Below are 23,918 nucleotides of genomic sequence, written 5' to 3' on the forward strand. Positions count from 1 at the left end.
AGGGAGACCTGTCCTTGTTCGAGCTAGATGCATCCCACCAGGGTGTGCAGAGCCCATAGCTGCGGGGCCCACCTTCTCATTCTTCTCAGACAGTGATGTGTGCCGTGCTGGGTGTTCTAGGTTGCTAACCATGCATCCCTTCAACAGGTCTGTGGGATGTCCAGGACATAGAGGTGGTGGGTAGCAGAGATAAAGTGTATTTAAGTGTGTGTGTGTGTGTGTGTGTGTGCACATGTGTGTCCATGTTTTCCTGTGCTATGCAGTGGATTGGAGAGGCAGGACTCCTGGGTTAAATAAAGACAAGTCCGGCTTCAGTCATACTATTTGGAAGGAATTTCAAAATAAGTGCCCAGCACATAGTGGGCTCTCAGAATTGTTCAATGAGTGATTACAAGGTCATGGTAATAACATTTGCAATCCAAAAGGAAACTCAGATATTATCTCTTATAAATAGGAAATGGAAGCCCAGAAAGGCTTAATGAATTGCCCAAGGCCATACAAAAAGTTAGTGGTGGCAGAGCCAGCCTAGAGCTTAATTCTCATGGCTGTTAGTGAGTGCCCATCTCCCTATGCCATACCACCAAAGCTAGCCAATAAACAAAACAACCTTGAAGGCATTTTGAACCCACTTTCTGTGTCCCCATATCATTTATCATCATTTATTAAAATTATGTACTGATCTCTTTCCTCCACTCAGTTGTGAGCTCCTTGAAATAGGAACGTAAATTAATTCATTTTTTCTTCCCTTGTGCCTAGACCCAGTGCCTTCCACGTAGGGGGCACTTAATAACATAGAAAATTCATATTTATTTTGAATTTGTCCTGACCATTCTTATAGCAATCTCATATTAATAGTTGATGATAAAAACTATAATTGCCAAGGTCCCTATGCCACACCATCACAGCTAGCCAATAAACAAGAAAACACCTGTGAAGGCATTTTGAACCCACTTTCTGTGTCCCCATACCATTTATCATCATTTATTAAAATTATATACTGATCTCTTTCCTCCACTCAATTGTGAGCTCCTTGAAATAGGAACTTGGATTAATTCATGTTTTAATTCATCTCATGGCAAACCTATGGGGAGATCCAGAAGTCAAGGTCCAGCCAAGGAAATGGAAACCATTCTACATCTTTACAGGGGGTATTTAATAAAGGAAATTGGCTACACAGTGTGAGAGAACTGGGAAGACAAACAGGGTGGTAAGGCACCTCTGAGATGATAGTAACAGGAGGCTGAAGATAAATTGGGAGAAGGTGGTGTTACTGGAGGTGTTTGATGGGAACTAGGGCGATGGAGGGAATGGATTTCCTGCAGGAACTGGAGTCATGGTGGAGATGGCCCAAAGCTGGAGATCCCACAAGAAGCAGAGAAATACCTCGGCTTTCCCCACCTGCCACCAATCCCTTGTCGGTAAAGGGAGAAGGGAAAGGGAGATGGCCTCTGACAGTGTGCTTGGCACACCACTTTCCCCTAACATAATGGAGATCTTTGAAGACCATCCACTTTCCTTTGTGCAAATTCAGCATTCACCAAGTAGTCCTCACACCTAAACCTTAGGTCTGCTTCCATATAGTTAATCTCAACCAAAAGGATGAAGAAACTTTATTTTTAATAGTTAGTCAACTGATCCATAGGGGAGGAAAAAACACCAATCAAAGCCATTTAAGTTTGTTCAGCAGTTTCACTTCCTTTTCAGTAAATTACAAATGAGGGACCTAAAGCTTTTTTACCTGAGACAACAAATAAAGCACATGACCCAGCACTCCTGTGGGAACCTAGGTGCCAACAAGAGAAGGTGGCCATGATGCTCCCCAGCAAGAGTCATGGAGTTGCTTAGATTATTTTACAAGTTCCACATTGGGGTCATCTTTTACATCTACATTTTTCTCTCCCCTTTTCTTCCCCAAGAGACAGGATCTCACTCTGTTGCCCAGGCTGGAGTGCCGCAATGCTATCATAGTTCATTGCAGCCTCAAACTCCTGGGCTCAAACGATCCTCCCACTTCAGACTCCTGAGCAGCTAGGACTAGAGGTGTTTGCTACCATGCCCAACGAAGTTTTTTTTTCTCGTAGAGATGAAATCTCACTATGTTTCCGAAGCTGGTTTTGAACTCCTGGCTTCAAGCAACCCTTCCACCTCAACCTTCCAAAGTGTTGGGATTATAGCTGTGAGCCACTGCACTTGGCTTCTATCTCCTTTTTTAAAGAAAAACATATAGAATAAATTTTGGACCAGGAAAAGAAAAAAGGATATTCTGGGCTGGGATTAGGAAACAAGGTAAAGAAACAAAAGGAGAAAAAACTAAAGCTCTTTCTTGCTGAGCCCCTGCTACTTGCTGTCTGCAGCAGTCCTGGCCTCATCTCTGAGAATGTGCTTCCAGAGAGAAACCCAGAAGGAACTCTCAGGTATGTGCATAAATTTGTTGATCTCAACAGTTGCAGCTGATGGATATTGACATTTAGAAAAAACTGCATGCCAGATCAAATTGAGATTAAACCAGAGTAGCTCTGTGGGCCAAAGGTGCCCCTGCTCCCCAAGTCTGCCTGACAAACATATTATCAATGCATATTAGATGCTATCAGGGAATTATTGCTAGCACTCTTAGGCATGATACCAGGGAAGAAGAATTGGCCTAGTTTTAAGAAATGCATGCAGAACTATGCAGGGGTGAAGTGTTGATGATGTTTGTAATTTATTTTCAAAAGATTCAGCAAAGAAGTCATATATATGCGTATATACATATAAATGTAGATGGTTAAGTGATACAACTATAAAAAATATTAATAGTAAATCTAAGTGGTGAGTATAAGGATGTTTTGTTCTTTCAAAGTTTTTTATGTTTGAAACTTTTGGTAATAAAAATCAGAAAAAGAACACTAACTTCTGTCCACTTGGCAATTATATATATATATATATATATTTTTTTTTTTTTTTGGTTGTTGTTGTTGTTGTTGTTTTGAGACGGAGTCTCACTCTGTCACCAGGCTAGAGGGCAGTGGCGCGATCTCAGATCACTGCAACCTCCGCCTCCCTGGTTCAAGCGATTCTCCTGCCTCAGCCTCCCGAGTAGCTGGGACTACAGGCGCATGCCACCACGCCCAGCTAATTTTTGTATTTTTAGTAGAGACAGGGTTTCACTCTGTTGGCCAGGATGGTCTTGATCCGCCCGCCTCGGCCTCCCAAAGTGCTTGGATTGCAGGTGTGGGCCACCACGCCTGGCTGGCAATTATAGTTTTTATCATCAACTATTAATATGGGATTATTTTAATATAGAAATCCACATCTCTTGAGTTTGGTAAGTTTGACCTAATTAACTAGAGTCAAGGTGAGAGAAATAATTGGCTTTTCAAATCTGATCAGCTTGAATGATCAAACCCTTGGCTAGAGTTGGCCACGATGAAGCAGGTATTAAAACCCTCCAAAATATGGTGACATTCCAAGCACTCTAATACGAATGCCTAGTATACTGACTTCAATGGAGGGCAGTATTCTCAGTTATTCATTCATTCATTCAGCCTGTGAGTACCTTGCTACAAACCCTAGGATTGGGGAATAGGCAATATCTACTCTCAAGGAGCTTCCAGGCCACAGAAGAGATGAACATGGGAACAAATGTGGGCAGCACAGTGTGATCAGAGCAATGATTCAAGAAAGCACAGGACAAGAGGAAAAACAAAGGAAGCAGTGGTCACTTCAACTGGCCATCAGTGAAGGGCCAGCAGGCAGGATTCAAAAAGGGAGCATATCAGTCAGGTCCTGGCAAGAAAGATATGGCACACTCAAGAGGCAGGAATGATAGGGAGATTAATGAAGAAATGACTTATAAAAATGTGGGCAAAGTTAAGGAAACGAACAACAGATGGTGAAGCTACCAACTGTGGGGACCGTCTACCACCCTGAGGCCTAAAAGGAGCCAGAGGAAGGAGTTTTAGCTTTTGGTAGAAGGATGCAGCCAGCCTGTAGGGATCCAATAGGGAGGGAGACAGGGGAGTAAACACCCTGACCCTGACTTCCCTCCCACCCTCTCCTCTCCCATAGATATCTCCCACTGGCTGAGCCCTATTTGAAGCCAGGAGACCAGAAAGCTCAGTTGATGCATCTCTAAGGTTCAGACTCCAGAGGCAGAGGGCAGGGCAAAGAAGGTCAGTGTAAACAATATTATTAAGCAAAATACACAAGTTGGAGACGGGCCTTGAAATAGAAGTAGAAGAAAGGGGAGTCGTAGAGAGGTGGCCACTATAGGTGACCACTTTCCAGTGAAGGACATCCTAGAATAGTCTCGGTCACAACAAAGCAGGCTTGCATGTTCAGGAAATGTCAGGCTTCTAAGAATGAGCTTTGAACTATTTTACCAGTAGAATAAAGAAATTGGGTGGCTTCCCTCCCTCATATAGAGTTGGTAGCTTCTCTCTCTCTCTCTCTCTCTCTCTCTCTCTCTCTCTCTCTCTCGTGTACTCTTCCCTAGGGTATGTTCTTTTTACCATTTTGTCATTCTTACATATGCAAAATAGATGGATTTTAAGTTCTTAGGGAACTGTGATTGGCACTAGTCCCTTAAAAGTTATTTTGACATGATGGTGTTGGTTTGATTATCATGTATATGAGCTTCATGTTCAGCTTCTTGAAGGCACTCCCCTGGAGTGCCTATAAACTTGGACTTCCCTTAGGATCGTAGAGAGTGCTCTGCATATTGTACATAATGAAAGCTGTTTAATTGATTCATAGGCAGGGTAAGACTAGCAACCATGTTCTTAGATCAGAGAAACTTTGATAGCTCTTTTGAGAACTAGTTGTGATTAACTATAGTACTAGATTGAAAATTAATTATAGTTATCTTAAATAGTGATTTCCAATCTGTATAAACACAAAAATCTCCCCCCAAGTGTAGAATATATTTACAGAGTTTACACACTAATAGGTTTAATATTCACTAATTCAATAATGACAAAAAGTTGCTCTGAATTAATATATATTTATAATTTATCAACAAAAGCAACCATATTAATTCAAAGTGGTTGTATCTATTATTCAGTAATTAATGCTTGGGGTCCATCTGGATCTTAGAACTCTTTGCTATAATTCTATAGTTAAGACTCCTCCAACTGTAGATGACAGTTATTTTGTTCAAATTACCATAGCAAAAAGGGAATTAATTAATTGATATCTGAGACATTCAAGAAGAGGCACTAGTTTTAAATAAGGCCCAGTCCAGGCATTCACATGATGTCACCATGCCCTTCTCTCCCTCTCTCCAGCTCTTCACTGTGCTTTCTTCTCTGCTGGCTTCCTTCTGCAGCTAGTTTTCTCTAGTTAGTGGCAGAGATGGCCACAGCAACTCCAAGGCTGTTCTGTCCTTACAGCCAGTGAACCAGGATAAGAGATCAACCCCTTTCTCACTTAACATCCATATTAGTCCCCCACTGTGTGTTGCTTTGGCTGTGGTTGAGTTAAATGCCCACCTCCAACCAAAATAGTATCCGGAGAGAAAGAAACTGGATTTGTCAACCAAGATAATGTGAGGAAAGGTGGGGCTGGATGGTTTAACTGGGGCTGGACAAGAAAACAACAGGAAAAATTGCTGGGCAGATGAAAAATTAGCTGATGAGGGCCGGGCGTGGTGGCTTATGACTGTAATCCTAGCACTTTAGGAGGCTGAGGCAGGTGGATCAGTTGAGGTCAGGAGTTCGAGACCAGCCTGGCCAACATGGTGAAACCCCATCTCTACTAAAAATACAAAAGTTAGCCAGGTGTTGTAGCATGTACCTGTAATTCCAGCTACTCGGGAGGCTGAGGCATGAGAATTGCTTGAACCCGGGAGGCGGAGGTTGCAGTGAGGTGAGATCGTGCCACTGCACTTCAGCCTGAGTGATGGAGTGAGACTGTGACTCTGTTTTTTTTTTTTTTAAAAAAAAAGTTAGCTGATGGGTACTACTGCAATCCACAGGCTATGGGTAATACTCCTTTTCTCCTTCTTGTATTCCTTTCTCTCTCATTCTTTCATACAGTTGTCTTACAATACCCATATATCAGGTATTGTAAGAAGAGTAACACACCAGTGAACTATAAAGCTTAGTAGTATTTTTTTAGTCCCTTCTTTTTTTTTATACTTGTTTGTAGGGATTCATACCTTTCCTACATATACATTTATTCAATAACATTTGTTGAACAATTAAAATATGCCAAATACATTGATTTTGTAACCTGAGACTTTGCTAAAGTTGCTTATCAGCTTAAGGAGATTTGGGGCTGAGATGGTGGGGTTTTCTAAATGTACAATCATGTCATCTCCAAACAGAGACAATTTGACTTCCTGTTTTCCTGTTCGAATACCCTTTATTTCTTTCTCTTGTCTGATTGCCCTGGCCAGCACTTCCAATTCTATGCTGAATAGGAGTGGTGAGAAAGGGCATCCTTGTCTTGTTCCGGTTTTCAAAGAGAATGCTTCCAGTTTTTGCCCATTCAGTATGATATTGGCTGTGGGTCTGTCATAAATAGCTCTTATTATTTTGAGATATGTTCCATCAATACCTAGTTTATTGAGAGTTTTTAGCATGAAGGGCTGCTGAATTTTGTCGAAGGGCTTTTCTGCATCTATTGAGATAATCATTTGGTTTTTGTCATTGGTTCTGTTCATATGATGGATTACGTTTATTGATTTGTGTATGTTGAACCAGCCTTGCATCCCAGGTATCAAGCTGACTTGATTGTGGTGGATAAGCTTTTTGATGTGCTGCTGGATTCGGTTTGCCAATATTTTATTGAAGATTTTTGCATCGATGTTCATCAAGGATGTTGGCCTGAAATTTTCTTTTTTTTGTTGTGTCTCTGTCAGGTTTGGTATCAGGATGATGCTGGCCTCATAAAATGAGTTAGGGAGGATTCCCTCTTTTTCTATTGTTTGGATTAGTTTCAGAAAAAATGGTACCAGCTCTGCTTTGTACCTCTGGTAGAATTTGGCTGTGAATCCATCTGGTCCTGGACTTTTTTTGGGTTAGTAGGCTGTTCATTGCTGCCTCAATTTCAGAACTTGTTATTGGTCTATTGAGGGATTCGACTTCTTCCTGGTTTAGACTTGGGAGGGTGTATGTGTCCAGGAATTTATCCATTTCTTCTAGATTTTCTAGTTTATTTGCGTAGGAGGTACTTATAATATTCTCTGATGGTAGTTTGTATTTCTGTGGGATCAGTAGTGATCACACTGATCACCCTTTATCATTTTTTATTGCATCTATTTGATTCTTCTCTCTTTTCTTCTTTATTAGTCTGGCTAGCAGTCTATTTTGTTGATCTTTTCAAAACCAGCTCCTGGATTCACTGATTTGTTGAAGGGTTTTTCGTGTCTCTGTCTCCTTCAGTTCTGCTAGGATCTTAGTTATTTCTCGTCTTCTGCTAGCTTTTGAATTTGTTTGCTCTTGCTTCTCTAGTTCTTTTAATTGTGATGTTAGGGTGTCAATTTTAGATCTTTCCTGCTGTCTCTTGTGGAATTTAGTGCCATAAATTTCCCTGTAAACACTGCTTTAAATGTGTCCCAGAGATTCTGGTATGCTGTCTTTGTTCTCATTGGTTTCAAAGAACATCTTTATTTCTGCTTTCATTTTGTCATTTATCCAGTAATCATTCAGGAGCAGGTTGTTCAGTTTCCATGTAGTTGTGTGGTTTTGAGTGAGTTTCTTAATCCTGAGTTCTAATATGATTGCACTGTGGTCTGAGAGACTGTTTGTTATGATTTCCATTCTTTTTCATTTGCTGAGGAGTGTTTTACTTCCAATTATGTGGTCAATTTTAGAATAAGTGCAATGAGGTGCTGAGAAGAATGTACATTCTATTGATTTGGGGTACAGAGTTCTGTAGATGTCTATTAGGTCCACTTGGTCCAGAGATGAGTTCAAGTCCTGAATATCCTTGTTAACTTTCTGTCTTGTTGATCTAATATTTACAGTGGGGTGTTAAAGTATCCCACTATTATTGTGTGGGAGTCTAAGTCTCTTTGTAGGTCTCTAAGAACTTGCTTTATGAATCTGGGTGTGCCTGTATTGGGTGCATATATGTGTAGGATAGCTCTTCTTTTTGCATTGATTCCTTTATCATTATGCAATGCCCTTCTTTGTCTATTTTGATCTTTTTGGTTTAAAGTCTGCTTTATCAGAGACTAGGATTGCAACTCCTGCTTTTTTTTTTTTTTGCCTTCCATTTGATTGGTAAATATCCCTCCATCCGTTTATTTTGAGCTATGTGTGTCTTTGCATGTGAGATGGGTCTCCTGAATACAGCATACCAAGGGGTCGTGACTCTCTATCCAATTTGCCAGTCTGTGTCTTTTAATTGGGGCATTTAGCCCATTTACATTTAAGGTTAATATTGTTATGTGTGAATTTGATCCTGTCATTATGATGCTAGCTGGTTATTTTGCCCATTAGTTGATGCAGTTTCTTCATAGTGTCGATGGTCTTTACAATTTGGTATGTTTTTGCAGTGGCTGGTACCGGTTGTTCCTTTCCATGTTTAGTGCTTCCTTCAGGAGCTCTTGTAAGGCAGGCCTGATGGTGACAAAATCTCTCAGCATTTGCTTGTCTATAAAGGATTTTATTTCTCCTTTGCTTATGAAGCTTAGTTTGGCTGGATATGAAATTCTAGGTTGAAAATTCTTTTCTTTAAGAATGTTGAATATTGGCCGCCACTCTCTTCTGGCTTGTAGGGTTTCTGCAGACAGATCTGCTGTTAGTCTGATGGGCTTCCCTTTGTGGGGAAGCTGACCTTTCTCTCTGGCTTCCCTTAACATTTTTTCTTCATTTCAACCTTGGTGAATCTGACAATTATGTGTCTTGGGGTGGCTCTTCTCAAGGAGTAGCTTTGTGGTGTTCTCTGTATTTCCTGAATTTGAATGTTGGCCTGTCTTGCTAGGTTGGGGAAGTTCTCTTGGATAATATCCGGAAGAGTGTATTCCAACTTGGTTCCATTCTCCCTGTCACTTTCAGGTACACCAATCAAATGTAGATTTGGTCTTTTCACACACCAATAACAGACAAACAGAAAGCCAAATCATGAGTGAACTCCCATTCACAATTGCTAAAAAGAGAATAAAATAACTAGGAATACAACTTACAAGGGATGAGAAAGACCTCTTCAAGGAGAACTACAAACCACTGCTCAAAGAAGTAAAAGAGGACACATATAAATGGAAAAACATTCCATGATCATGGTTAGGAAGAATCAATATTATGAAAACGGCCATACTGCCCAAGTAATTTATAGAGTCAATGCTATCCCCATCAAGGTACCATTGACTTTCTGCACAGAATTGGAAAACATCTTTTTTTTTTTTTTTTTTTTTTTTTTTTTTTTTTTGAGACGGAGTCTCGCTCTGTGGCCCAGGTGGGAGTGCAGTGGTGCAATCTCGGCTCACTGCAAGCTCCGCCTCCCGGGTTCACGCCATTCTCCTGCCTCAGCCTCCCGAGGAAAACATCTTTAAACTTCATATGGAACCAAAAAAGAGCCTGCATAGCCAAGACAGTCCTAAGCAAAAAGAACAAAGCTGGAGGCATCACGCTACCTGACTTCAAACTATACTACAAGGCAACAGTAACCAAAACAGCATGGTACTGGTACCAAAACAGATATATAGACCAGTGGAACAAAACAGAGGCCTCAGAAGTAACACCACACATCTACAACCATCTGATCTTTGACAAACCTGATAAAAACAAGCAATGGGGAAAGGATTCCCTATTTAATAAATGGTGTTGGGAAAACTGGCTAGCCATATGCAGAAAACTGAAACTGGAAACCTTACACCTTACTTACACCTTATACAAAAATTAACTCAAGATGGATTAAAGACTTAAACATAAGACCTAAAACCATAAAAACCCCAGAAGAAAACCTAGGCAATACCATTCAGGTCACAAGCATGGGCAAAGACTTCATGTCTAAAACACCAGAAGCAATTGCAACAAAAGCCAAAATTGACAAGTGGGATCTAATTAAACTAAAGAGCTTGTGCACAACAAAAGAAACTATCATCAGAGTGAACAGGCAACCTGCAGAATGGGAGAAAATTTTTGCAATCTACCCATGTGACAAAGGGCTAATATCCAGAACCTACAAAAAACTTAAATACACTTACAAGAAAAAAACAACCCCATCAAAAAGTGGGTGAAGGATATAAACAGACACTTCTCAAAAGAAGACATTTATGCAGCCAATAAACATATTAAAAAAATCTCATCATCACTGGTCATTAGAGAAATGCAAATCAAAACCACAATGAGATGTCATCTCATGCCAGTTAGAATGGCGATCACTACAATGTCAGGAAACAATAGATGCTGGAGAGGGTGTGGAGAAATAGGAATGCTTTTACACTGTTGGTGGGAATGTAAATTAGTTCAACCATTGTGGAAGACAGTGTGGCGATTCCTTAAGGATCTAGAACTAGAAATACCATTTGACCCAGCAATTCCATTACTGGGTATTTACCCAAAGGATTATAAGTCATTCCACTATAAAAATACATCCACATGTATGTTTATTGTGGCACTGTTCACAATAGCAAAGACTTGGAACCAACCCAAATGCCCATCAATGATAGACTGGATAAAGAAAATGTGGTACATATACACCATGGAATACTATACAGCCATAAAAAGGATGAGTTCATGTCCTTTGCAGGGACATGGATGAAGCTGGAAACCATCAGTCTCAGCAAACTAACACAAGAACAGGAAAACCAAACATAGCATGTTCTCACTCATAAGTGGGAGTTGAACAATTCGAACACATGGACACAGGGAGGGGAACATCACACACTGGGGCCTGTTGGGGGTGGGGCTAGGGGAGGGAGAGCATTAGGAGAAATACCTAATGTAGGTGACGTGTTGATGGGTGCAGCAAACCACCATGGGACGTGTGTATCTGTGTAACAAACCTGCACATTCTGCACATGTACCTCAGAACTTAAAGTATGATTTTTAAAAATGTCCAATAAAATGATGAATATGAATCCTAAATCTGAAATCTTTTTTTCATTTTCCAAAATCTAAATTAGGAATTCTTTATTCTGAAACATGAATAGCATTGCATTCATTCAAAGTAAATTTTCATTTCTACAGTTATCTGTTGGTATTAGTGTTATTAAAGAAGAAATAATACAATGTTTTACCATAAGGAAAGCAAATAAAGTGAGCTGTATATTCATTTTTAGTAACTGTGACTTCTTAAAAACATGCACAATCTCTTATAAAATATTTAAGAGACTTTTTAATCTTGAATAATTATATTGTATTTTTATCACGGTAATGAGAAGGTTTTAAAACAGGGATTTTTTTTACAATTATGATTACATGTTTTGCTTGTAAGTATGAGTTATAGTATTTGAATCTTAATGTCTTAGTGCATTTTTTGAATTTATAGAAAAGACTGTACTCTGTTGACCTTTTTAATATTCTGCTCTCTCATTGGCTACCTATCCTAAACCTTTCTTCCATATTAGTAGGAACTGTTTCAGGGGGAGGAGGAGTAGAAATGCCAGCCAGTCAGAAACCAGAATATTAAAAAGGGCAACATCATACAGTTTTCTGCTACAATTCATAAAGACATTAAACATCCAGTATTTCATCTCCAGACCAAGATTGTAATGAGAATGGAAGATGGCACAACATTAATTCATCTTCGTGACAAATATTGTAATGAGAAAGGAAGTATGCAAGCTACAAATATTTCATTATCTTTTTAAAAATATCTAATATTGGCCGGGCGCAGTGGGTCACGCCTGTAGTCCCAGGACTTTGGGAGGCCGAGGCGGGCAGATCACAGGGTTAGGAGATCGAGACCATCCTGGCTAACATGGTGAAAACCCATCTCTACTAAAAATACAAAAAATTAGCTGGGTGTAGTGGTGGGCACCTGTAGTCCCAACTACTTGGGAGGCTGAGGCAGGAGCCTGGGCAACAGAGTGAGACTCTGTCTCAAAAAAAAAAAAAAAAATCTAATATCTTTTATAATATAATGAGAGTAAATTTGTACTACCTAAAGTTGAGTCCTCTCACTAAATACTTAGTGCCTTTTAAATTAATAGGACTCCTTTGGGAGTATTCTGAAATTAGTCTTAATCCCTAAGAGAGCTACTAGTATGGCTAGGTTAAAATAAATATAAAAGACATTCATTATACAAATAAATAGAAATTTTATTTTGGCTAATATTTCACTGTCATTAAAGTATTTGAACTAAACTAATTATAACTTTCTCATTTTAAATGGTTGCTTTGTTACTACCTTTATATCAGCATAACCACTAAATAAAGTAAAATTTCTTAGTGATTGATTCTTCCATGTGCATTATATGAACAATAAATACAGAAATAAGGGCTTATATATCAGACTTTGAGAGAATTCAGGCACTGAATCAATTCAAATCAGGTAGGAAGCTCCACATACATTCAATATAGTTTTGTGTGTTTTTTTTTTCTCTGTGTGCTTGTGTGTGGGAGAGAGAAAGAAATGAAAGGAAGGAGAGGGGAGGGGAGGAGAGGGGAGGGGAGGAGAGGGGAGGGGAGGAGAGGGAAGGGGAGGAGAGGGGAGGGGAGGAGAGGGGAGGGGAGGAGAGGAGAGGAGAGGAGAGGAGAGAAGAGGGAAGGAAGATAAATAAATAAAACAGAGAGAGAGAGAGAGAGAGAAAGAAAGAAAAAGATGGGAGGCAGGAGAAGAGAATCAGAGTCCTGGTAGGATTCAGAATCCAGCTAAAGTGGTTTTACTGAAGGGACTGATTGCTGATTGCAGAAGTGTGAACCGGAGTCAGGAATCAGCGAGGTGGTTGCAGCCAGAGACTAGAAATAGTAGAAATTTATTATTACCCCTAGGCAGAAGGGCAAGGAGAGGAAATATTGTTACCAGAGCCCAGTAAGAGCTGTAGCGTGGAATGAGGCGCTATGGACAGGTTCAGTAGTAAAGCCATGGCCAAAGCAGGGAAAGAACAGGGAATAAATACCTCTCTTCCTGCCTCCCATTCATTGACTGAAGCCAGCTGTCAAAGAAGTCTGGGTGCATGAGGCACCAAGGTCCGGCTCCCTGGTTCAGAGCAGGAGAGAGAAGGGAAAGGAAGGGCAAGGATGCAAGTGGACAATGAGCAACAGAAATGTTGAAGGGAGATTCTGAGGAGCTTTGCTAAGGTCTCTTAGAGTGAAAAGGAACGCGATGGAAGGAGGTAAGAATGACTGGAACAGAAAATGAAGATGGAAAAGGAGAGGATGAAGGAAAATGAAATAGGATATAACTCTCTGGGTCTGAATAGAATTTTGGGGAGGTTATTTCTCTTAGAATATTATTTGGAAACCTGCCTTAAATGATGTTAAAAAATAAAAACCTGCTAAACAACTGCATGGACCATCTCCTTGCACATTCATTTTGAAATGGGAGATGATGCTGACAGGTCGTGAACATCTATCTTTGGAGTTTTGTTGTCATGTTTCCCTCCCCCCTTCCCTCCCTCTCAGCATTAAAAAATATACCCTATAAAATATGCCACTCCAAGTTCTGCAATATTCAACCAAATCTTGGTACAGTGATGCCAACTAGACTATTGAGTGACTTGTTAACAAGAATGTAATCACTGCCTGCCTCTTTGCCATAGCTTATTTACTACTAACAAATATCATCTTGTGATGCTAGACAGTGCCTTTCACCCACTGGATCCTGGAGCGCTTTATGAACTAGGAATGCATGAGTAGCTGAAATAGAGCTCTCTCAAGGGTAGAATAAGACAGCTGTTAGCCTTGCAAAAATGTTGCACAACAGCCTGAGTGGAAACCAGGGAAGGGTTCTAATCTAATTGAAACTGCAAGAAGAATTTAAGTTGATGGACTAATTGCTGAGGCTGGCATTTATTCAAAAAACCAGGGCTTATTCTTTTCAGACAGTGAGTGACACAGCAACTTAGTTCCATTTAACAGATCCTGTTGCTTCCATTTAAGAGATGAGGAAACTGAAGTTCATGAGCACAAACTGTGTTTGAGAGAACTAGACTACAATGCAGGTCCTTTGAGATTTTGGTTGCTATTTATCTTTGAGTCACATGGTAAATAGGAGTATCAGCTGCAAAACAACGACTTAGTACCAATGTGAGAGAAAGAACACACCCATGGTATGCACATTTTTGCAGAAATTGGGCTACTCTGGGAAGGTCGCCATGCAATCCTGACTCAACTTGACCCTGCATAGTTTATAAAGTCAGTCAAGTTCCAAGAGCTGGAGGTGATATAAATGCAAAACACTCATGCCTTTAAGAAACAGCAGATCATGAGTCAATGAAACTTTAAACTGATTAGTTTGCAGCGGGTTCCTCTTGCCTAACACTTCTTTCATGCTGGAATGTCACATTAATTGGTTCTTAATTGAACAATGTGCTTCCAATTTTCAAAACCCAGCAGAGTATAAAACGGAAGAAGTCAGACTCTTGCTCTTTGGAATAGAAAGTCATATGGGTAAAGATACAGTTCATAAGGATTAAACTCTCACAGAGGTTGGAAGCTGTCACACAAGCACTTCCCCACTCAGTTCATAAGGTACAGCTCTTCAGGTTTTCTATTTTTACATGGAAACAGCTTAATGCTACTTGTTTGGAGGACAGCATGATCCTAGGGTGTAAGATGATGACGAAAACTTCCTTCGCTACTTGATTTCTGGAAAACTGAGATCTTTTAATGTAGCTGTGTGTTGTGTATGGTTAATTATTTCCTCTGTAAATAAATAGCTTGATCTTAATTTTTGTTTAAAATAAACGACCATTGGGAAGTAGCTGGTTAATTCCAGGATCCAGGAGTTTCTTATCTGCAATTAAATGTGGGCCAAAAGGTCTACTTTCCACCTAAAATTAAAAACCTGTTTGTTCATGTTCTCTCTTTGGAAATGTTCCACGTACAGGCAAGTTTATTTTTCTATTCTGAAGAAATATTATTTTTAAACAGGGGCTGTGTTCTGAATTCATATGATGTGAAAAGTCAGAGATGGAAAGAAAGTTAGTTTCTTGGAACAAATAAACCTTAAAAAAAAACCCCAAGTTTCTGAGCTGTTTTTCCCCAATATTGCTGTGCCTTGGGGGGAAAATCAAGCTGAATTCCTTAGATCAGGATGCTTAAGAGTTAGATATTTCTTTCAGTCTCATCTGTATCATGCTTTTTCATCTTACAAGTAAGAGAGAGGTTTTTCTAATTGCATCTTCAAACATGGATCGTTCGTCAAAGTTGACTATTTCTGCCTCTTGCATCAGAAGTAGAAATTATACTCTTTCTCCCCCTTGCATCATAAAACATGGTTCCACGTAGCACTTCGTTTGCAATTGATAATGCAATAGTTAGAGACTTTGCTTCTTTCAGGGATGCACTGGTCCCATGGTTATTGTAAAAGTAGATAGAAAAGGGAAAAAAACAGTCCATGAGACAATGCCATTTTAACTACAGTCTCTCTGAACATATTGTGTGTGTTTTGATGACATTAATATATTTTGGATTAGGATACAGTGAGATTGTGATAAAACCCCCTTTAGATCACCTACGAATAAAATACAGCTATTGCTTCTCATTAATAGAGAATCCTTGTAGAATTGTATCCTTTAACAACAGAGTCTGAAATAAAGGTCAACCAAAGGTGTGTCTAAGGAACACTCGGTGATCTCCAGCGAGCTAACTAGGATCCATGCCCCACTGTGGAAGGCCTCTGATTCTCACTTCTTGTGGCAATGTACTATGCCAACACTCTGATCACACATCTTCAAGCTAATTACTCTCATTCACTCAACATCCATTCCTTCTGCTCTAACAAGACCTCCTTAAGGATCACTGGGACTGAACCTGCGTCTGAAGCAAGCATGGCAGCAATGCTGCCACAAGAGATAAATGTTTCCCTGGGTACAAACTCAATAAGTGAAACATTTGACAAAGAAGAATGCCCTTGGCAGCCCTGCTCAATCTCTCTAAGAAATTGACACTGTAGAGTACAGGCACAAAGCCCAGATAAGGACAGCTACAAAAAGCTTTTGTAAGCAAAGTAATCAGGCCCATGTCAACTGGTCTGTCCTTTCGTGATCTCTTGCCTGGACAGTTAGTGAAACCTGATCAATGAGATATTTTTCAACATTTGTGGCAAATCGTCTATCAGTGCAAGGTGATGCTCAACAGCAATGACCTAAAAAGTGTGGAGGCGGGGCAATGAGAAAATGGCCTCTGGTGTGAGGAGAGTGTTGCCTACAGTAGATTAGGACTTTTAGGACCCTCTTGCCACCTATTGCTCATCCAGCAGAATTCAGTCACTCTTAGGCAAGTGGCTGTGCTCAGCTAATTTCTGCACTATATACTTATGACATCTGCATTGCTTGCTGTTTCTGGGGATGGGGAAGATACAAAGATCCCTCTTTGGGTGACTTCCTCCAACCCAGTTGTTTCATCTGTAAAATAGGGATAAACAGTTATAGGTAGAAATTGTCATTATTCAATCCAATAATCTGCTCAAGTCATTCACCAATTTAGAAATCTTTCTCTTTCAATACATAGAATGCCCAGGCTCCATGTTGGCCACTGCGAGGGACTATCACTGTGAGGGTCCCTGCTGAACACCAGGAGTTTGCTGCTAGAGGGGGATATGTCACATACATGTCACTGATAGAGAGGCAGATGAATTTCACAGAGTTAGTATAAACAGAAAGGCACTTCAAGAAGCACTAGAGCACCTGATGTGGAAATTAAGAGGAATTAAGAGGAAGGGCTCCTGGGAGGTGGGCATTTGAGGCTGGCATCAAAGATGTATACAATGTAAAGCTGTAGAGATGGAAAGTAAACGATGCAAATGGGAATACCATGACAGAGAGGCTCCTTGTTAGATGCGTAGGATGTCTGAGCCCTAGAGAGCATGGTCTGGGTATGCATAGGAAGCTTATTAACAATGGATTTTCTGCTGCGACATTTCTAAACTGTTCATATACACTTAACTTAGAGGGTCAGTGTGGTAAGTAGGTAGAGACAGGGACTTGAGAACCACAGAGCCTAGGTTTATATTCTAACTCCGCTACTCACCAGCTCTATGACCTTGGGCAAGTTATTCAAACTCTTTGTACCTCAATTCCATCAGCTATAAAATGGGTATCATTGTAATACCACCTCACAGAGGATGGTATGAGGCTGTTACAAAGATTAAATCAATTATTTAAAGCATCCAGAACAGGCCTAGAACACAGTAAATGCTCAATATGATCTTTCTCTTCTAGTTCTCACACAACCCTGTGAGGGTAAGTGCGAATGACAGAAGAGGAATTAGTATCATTCAAAAACCACACAAAGGCCTGGCAGAGTTAGCAGTCACAGCAAGTCCCCTGTCTCTCAAAAACATGCTTCATACACCCCAATGAACCCAAAGTGACAGAAACCTTAGGCACACCTCGTGTCCACTGATGATTCACACAGTGGTTTTACACACACACATACGCACACACATACACACGACAGTTTGGCAACGTCTGGAGATGTTTTTGGTTGTCACGATTTGGGGGATGTTACTGGCATCTAGTGGGTAGAGGTCAATTATGCTGCTAAAAATCTCGCAGTGCAGAAGACAACCCCCCCGCAACTGCAACAGATGATTATACAGCCCCAAATTTCCACTGTGCTGAGGTTAAGAAACTGACGTAGGGCTGTCTCTCGAAGAGGCGTTCATGTTTAAATACTTCAGCAAGACTCCCTTTTACATAAAATACTTTGCTAAAAACCATCAAAGCAAAGGGAAAGTTGTGCAGCCAGTGAAAAATCTAAGTGTTGATGAAATTGTTGAAGGTTTTCCTCTTGAAAAGGATGTGTGTGGTCATGAAAAATAAAAGCATACCTAGCAGCATGGGAAAAGAAAAGAGAATCACCTGAAATCACTATCTACTAAAGAAAATTCTAAAAAGCAGTTCAGCTGCTATAAAAGGCAAAAAGCACATGCCTGCTGCCTGCAGTGTTTAATCCAGTGTCACACACACACACACACACACACACAGATACATACATGTCTAGTCAACAAAAATAAGTTATTTCCAACTGCAGCTCAAGTCTAACTCAACTGTTGAAAGTGCTAGGAAAAAATGTCTCCCTCTTTCTATAGCTAATCATTTGATCTGTAAATATCACTTATTCCATTGACTGTCCTATTATTACACTTTTTCTTTTTAAATGGCCATTAAATCAGGTATAAAAGAGCCATTAGTTTCTACTATAAATAGTCACAGGCACTAAATACTTCATTGTTTGAATTAGTCACTGTAGTTTACGCAGATGAAATTCTCTTCGAAGGTGTGGTTTTATGCCTTCTGTCAGCCACTCTTATCTTCCCCCAGTCCTGGGAATAATAACTCAGTTTCCAAACACATTAAATGCGTTGTAAATAGTACATGCCTCCATAGCACCACCTCGATGGACTGATCCACCTTGTTGTGGTGTCATAAATTTGAAGGCATCTCATAAAAGCCGCCATATCCAGCCAGATATTCATGTTCGGAGACTTACTAAGCAGTTCAGAAAAGCACCTCACCTTGCTCGTTTTCCCCCGCTATCTCTCTCATCTTTGCTCCTGGAGACGCATCATTATTTGATCTTAATAATAATAAGTTATTAAAAAAGGCATTTGTATGAAACTTTACAATCTGTGAAGCACATTTAAGTATTTGATCCTCATAACAATACTTTGAGCTTGGAGTGGCAGCTTTTACAAAATTATCGCAGTTTTGTAGTTAAGGGAACACAATACTGTGTACTTACGTCATATAAAAATGGCGTCTCGGGCCTGAGGTGAGCTTAGGTGAGCAGGACCTCCAGGAGATGTTCTCATGGGCCTTTGTTTGTCTTATTTGGGTTCCCTGTGAAGCAGAACTTGAGACATAGATTAGAGTTTAAGTGGTTTGGGAGATGATGCCAGGAAGTATCAGGAGGGGAGTGGGGAAAGACGACAGGGAAGGGAAAGGAGAGAGTAATGGGTCATTTATGGAACAGGTTACCTGTGGACCCTGGGGGCTTACTCATGCCGTGCTGAAGAGTCTGGGAGATAGTGTAGAGGGATCCACTGAACGCAGAGGAGCAGGAGTACCAATCCTCCAACCTCCGCCCGTTATTGTCTGAAGGCTGTTCTTTCCTTTGGGGCTAGAGGAGATTGACTCTGGCACTCTGTCCAGACTCAGGGAAAGCCCCCAGCATTTCGGGTCCTAAGGACACTATCCCCGGCCCAGCAGAAGGCTGTTCAGAGTAGGTGCTGCTTGAAAAACATCCCTTAGTCTCTTCCCAGTGCATGTAAAAATCCTAATTACTCACTATTCACTGTCTTTTTTGTACGTTCATTCTCTCTGATTTGGCAAAACTGAAATGTCATCCAGGTGACCATGATTTTCATTGGGAGGATTGCCTGAGGACACTAAGGCAAGCCAATGGAGGCAGGAGTGCCCAGGGGAGTGCAGACACCTGTCTTCAAAATCAACACTATCAAGTACGGTGCCAAACCTACTCAGTGAGAACATAGAGGTGGACCTTAGCTCACTTTTCTGTGCAATTTTTGTCTCCAATTTCCTGGTGATATTTATCTTTTTATCGTGAAAGACCCTCCTCTCCACTTACTTCTGAGTTTAGCACCCTCCCATGCTCTCCTTCCCCACTTACTGGTGGAATATCTCCTTCTCTCTTTAAGGTTTCTTCTCAGATTATGGATATACTGCAAGGCACAGATGACTGATAAACTGTCTCGCTTCTTAGGAGGGAAAACACATTGAAGTCTTAATCCACATCAGTCTCTGAAGGTGGTCCTGGGCCCTTATATTATTTGGTTTGGCCCACTCAAAGTTTAAAATATTAAATTAGTTGTCAAATTTTTGCAATATTAAAAGATTTAACCTACAAATTGGAATTTCCTTCTTCTACTCAGTCGGTAACTCAACCCTCTTGAAGGCAAGACAAGGATCTGCTGGAGTCGAGTGGAGACTGCCCGTCTAGACAGGACACACACTCTCCAGTTAACCACATCCGTGCCACCCTTACATCCAGCCATCTTCACCCATTCCAGCCACTTGCCTCCTTCTGCAGGGTTTTGAATTTATGATACCTGGCCTGTAGCCCTTAGAGAAGTGAGAGAAGATTCACAGAGGTTGTTGCCTTTAGTTGCTATCCTGTCAGTGTCCTTGAAATCACACCATCTAGGATGTAATTATTCTTAGCACTTACCTAACCTTCTAGCTCTGTAAGAAAGTAACAGAGGGTTTTCTTTTTTTTTTTTTTTTAGATCTTCATATAAGGAATGACCCAGATGATTATATAAATCTACATTTAATTTTCATTAGAATTATCCTAGGTAGTGCTTGAACTTTAAATCCTGTAGAGTAGAAGCAAATCTGTGTTTGCAATAGAAATTGCCAGAAGAAAGAACAAGGAAGACATTTAGATAATTTCATCTGGGTGTGCAAAGTCATCACAAGATCCATCTTTCCATTATCTGGAAGTTGGGAGCCACCTGTTTTTCATGACGGTCTGACGGTTGGAATGAGAAGCTGTAAGTTTAATTAAGTTACTCGTGTGGGAGGAACGCGCTTTGCAGCAGCAGTTAGATTATTAATGGACTCCTATATTGAAGTGTTCACATTTTTGAAAGGCTAATTACAATATAATTTTAGGTTTAAAATATTGCTTTGCCAAGGGTAGAAGTTGTGTCATGTATTATTAAGTGGTACTTTACTTTTTCAGTCTTGAGGGAAATATGGGTTTGGTTATGGTAATCTTTAATATCCAGTTATTTCCCTCACTTCCCCACTTGACGCTTCTAACTCCTGGAAAAGGAAAATACGCTCCGTGGCTGTCAAGTACCAAAAAGTTACACTGGAGTTATCTTGGATTCTTCTGATTTTTTTAAATAAAGAAAGCCAACCTGCTTATAGGTTGAGTAAACTCAGTTTCACATTTGTCTTTGCTGCCTGAGACCCATGATTTTATCAGCTGTACAATCTCAACATTCTAGGGGAAGACTGAACAGGAAATTAAGGGTTCTAAGAGGTAGCTGCCTAATGAGCTAATTCTGGAATCCATTCTACTATTACCTGGTTATAGATGCACAAGTAGGGCTCTAGTTGATTGTAATGGGAATCCCATGTTTTTTTATTCAACGACCTAATTTAGAGTCTTTGTGTTGGAAGCTGTGTTTACTGCATATTCCAAACTGAAATCAACACACATTCCTTCCACCCACATATCCTCCCAATGAAAATCATGGTCACCTCGATGATATTTCAGTTTTGCCAAATCAGAGAGAATGAACGTACAAAAAATACAGTGAATAGTGAGTAATTAGGATTTTTACATGCACTGGGAAGAGACTAAGCAATGTTTTTCAAGCAGCACCTACTCTGAACAGACTTCTGCTGGGCTAGGGATAGTCTAGTGGCTGTGATTAGCTAGATTTGTCCGCTCTAAAAGCTGCCCACCAGCCCAGTGCCTCCATGTTCTTCTCTGGACAAGCATTGCAGTGGCTGGCTGAGTACATTGCAATGATGCAAGGGTCAATTTCCTCCCATGAAACTGTGCTGTGTTTTATTTTTAAAAAATCCTTCTGCCTGAAGGAAGTGCTCGAACGAAGGAAAAAGCCTTTGTTTGACCTGGAAGATGACCAGTTTCTTAGGCTAATCATGTCACTCTTTTGTGGAAAAGCTACACTTTCTCCTGTGCCATGGTTGGAAAAATTGACATGGCCAATCCCTAGCAGCGAGCTGCGATTCTGCCATTCAATACTTTGTGTAGTCAGTTGCACCAAAATTCCATCATTGTGGGACCAGAAGGGTGCCCACAGAAACCAAAATGACACAAGGCATTCTCTTACAGGAGTATCCCAAGGCCAGGGATTTTCCCACATGTTTTTGGGCCTGTGGCAGAAGTCTAACCTTCCAGCTCTATAGGAAAGTAACAGGCCGGGCGCGGTGGCTCACGCCTGTAATCCCAGCACTTTGGGAGGCCGAGGCGGGTGGATCACGAGGTCAGGAGATTGAGACCATCCAGGCTAACACGGTGAAACCCCGTCTCTACTAAAAATCCAAAAAAAAAAAAAAAAAAAAAAATTAGCCGGGCGTGGTGGCTTGCGCCTGAAGTCCCAGCCACTAAGGAGGCTGAGGCAGGAGAATGGCATGAACCTGGGAGGCGGAGCTTGCAGTGAGCCGAGATCGCGCCACTGCACTCCAGCCTCGGCGACAAAGCAAGACTCTGTCTCAAAAAAAAAAAAAAAAAAAAGAAAGAAAGAAAGTAACAGAGGGTTTGGGGCCTGTGGCAGAAGTCTGGTCCTGTACGTTCTCTTCTCCCCATTCCTGACATGTTCTGACCTATTGATAGAACACTTCTCTCCAAACCATCAAGAGCTAGTGCTACACTATTTGGTGGCAAATCTACCCTACAGGCTTACCCCAACCAAAGCTTCCCTCAATAATTGTTTAAATATTTTCAGTTCTAACTTGTGCTTGTGAGTCAGCACCTCACCCTGGATTTTGCTCTTATGTTTTATCCTGATAGTCCAATTCTCTGATCCCTCCAGCTTTAGCTGCTTAATTGCTGAGAGTGGAAGAGAAGAAAACTTCAACCACGTGTGTGTATCTATTTGCAATATTAAGGGGTTTAGAAAGAGTAGGGAGGAAGGGAAATGCCAAACTGCTCATAGGAATGCCCCGAGATTGGTGAGGCCATGGTAGTGGATGAAGAAAAACAGCCCTTGTTGAGCAACAAGTATGAACAAGACTCTCTGATATTGTTCTGCTTGGGCTTAAAGTTGTCTAGAGTTGGTCAGAGTTATAGGTGAGTCTTTGATCTTGAAATGCAAGAACGCCAGATGGCCCATAAACAGACTGAACTGAGAACCTTGTATACTAGAGGTTATAGCTAGTAGCTATAACCAGAAATTGTGAGAGACTGAGCAAAGTCACTTGATTTACTCAGATTGAAATACATGCAAGTTAATGAAGTGAGTGATAAAGCAAGTGATGGCTTGGTATTAAGGTCTCTTTGGGATTTTATTACAGTTGCAGAGTTTGGGGGTACAGAAAAAGGAGGAACAGGTAGTAAGTTTTTTGTTTTCTTCTCAGAGACATGGTCTTGCTCTGTTACTCAGACTGGAGTGCTGTGGTGCGATCATAACTCACTGCAGCCTCAAACTCCTGTGTTCAAAGGACCCTCTTGCCTCAGCCTTCCGAGTACCTGGGACAACAGGTGCAAACCACAATGCTCAGCTAATTAAAAAAAAAAAAATTAAAGACTTGCTAAATTGGCCATGCTGAGTGGAAAGTTTTTAAAGGCCCCCTAGTTCTCGCAGTGCCTCAAGCAGAGAGGGTTAGCTCTAAGGGCTGCTTAGGTAACTCAGCCCTCAAGCTCTCTAAAATAAAATTCCCCAGTGGTGGAAATCCTGATGCTTGGGGCTCCTCGGGTAACTTTCTTCAGTGCCTCAGGTTGCTAGGATATGTGTGCAAAAGACCCAAGGCATCCTACAGTGACCTCCTATGGCTCTTTTTTTCTAAGGGCAAACACCCTCATGCCCAGCTTGAAGCCTTATCAACTATGGATCCCACCACTTCAGAAATGGGTGACCAGGTTCTTCCTTGTTTCATCCTTCTGCTTTTAAAATTGCTGAACAATTATTTGACGTCATTTCTTCTTTCCATTTATCATTTCCAATTCCAGTCCCATGCCACTTGTAGTCTACACTGCCTGTGTGCATTCATTATCTCTGTGCACAGGCAGAGGCCTAGGTATGCAGGGCAGGTTTGCTCTACCTGCTTGCATATGAGAACTGTATGTTCAACTTCTGGCTACAGTCAGTTGCTATAATCCTTGCCTTATGTGGCTAGCATGGAATCTCTTTTCCTGGGGCTATACTCTGTCACCACCAGG

At 40.8% G+C, this 23,918-nt stretch overlaps 1 long non-coding RNA gene across 2 annotated transcripts, besides 1 other annotated feature; it reads left to right on the forward strand.

The window, feature by feature from the left end:
- Window positions 18,466-19,665: an enhancer, noted in NCBI's record as "MED14-independent group 3 enhancer chr2:205338259-205339458 (GRCh37/hg19 assembly coordinates)". NCBI's record gives its function as "activates an origin of replication core promoter dependent on BRD2, BRD4, P300/CBP and CDK7 cofactors, and independent of MED14, by STARR-seq in HCT116 cells {active_cell/tissue: HCT116}" and the evidence as "EXISTENCE:reporter gene assay evidence [ECO:0000049][PMID:35650434]".
- On the forward strand, window positions 18,742-20,952 carry LOC105373845 (uncharacterized). Of its 2 annotated transcripts, none has more exons than XR_923799.3 (3): window positions 18,742-18,822; window positions 19,391-19,500; window positions 20,287-20,952. It is a non-coding gene; the product is annotated as an uncharacterized LOC105373845 (long non-coding RNA). The 2 variants fall into 2 exon arrangements; XR_923798.3 differs by lacking the exon at window positions 20,287-20,952 and adding an exon at window positions 19,699-19,908.
- Window positions 20,953-23,918: the final 2,966 nt, after the last annotated feature.

This window comes from Homo sapiens, chromosome 2 (genome assembly GCF_000001405.40).
Source record: "Homo sapiens chromosome 2, GRCh38.p14 Primary Assembly".
NCBI lineage: Eukaryota > Metazoa > Chordata > Mammalia > Primates > Hominidae > Homo > Homo sapiens.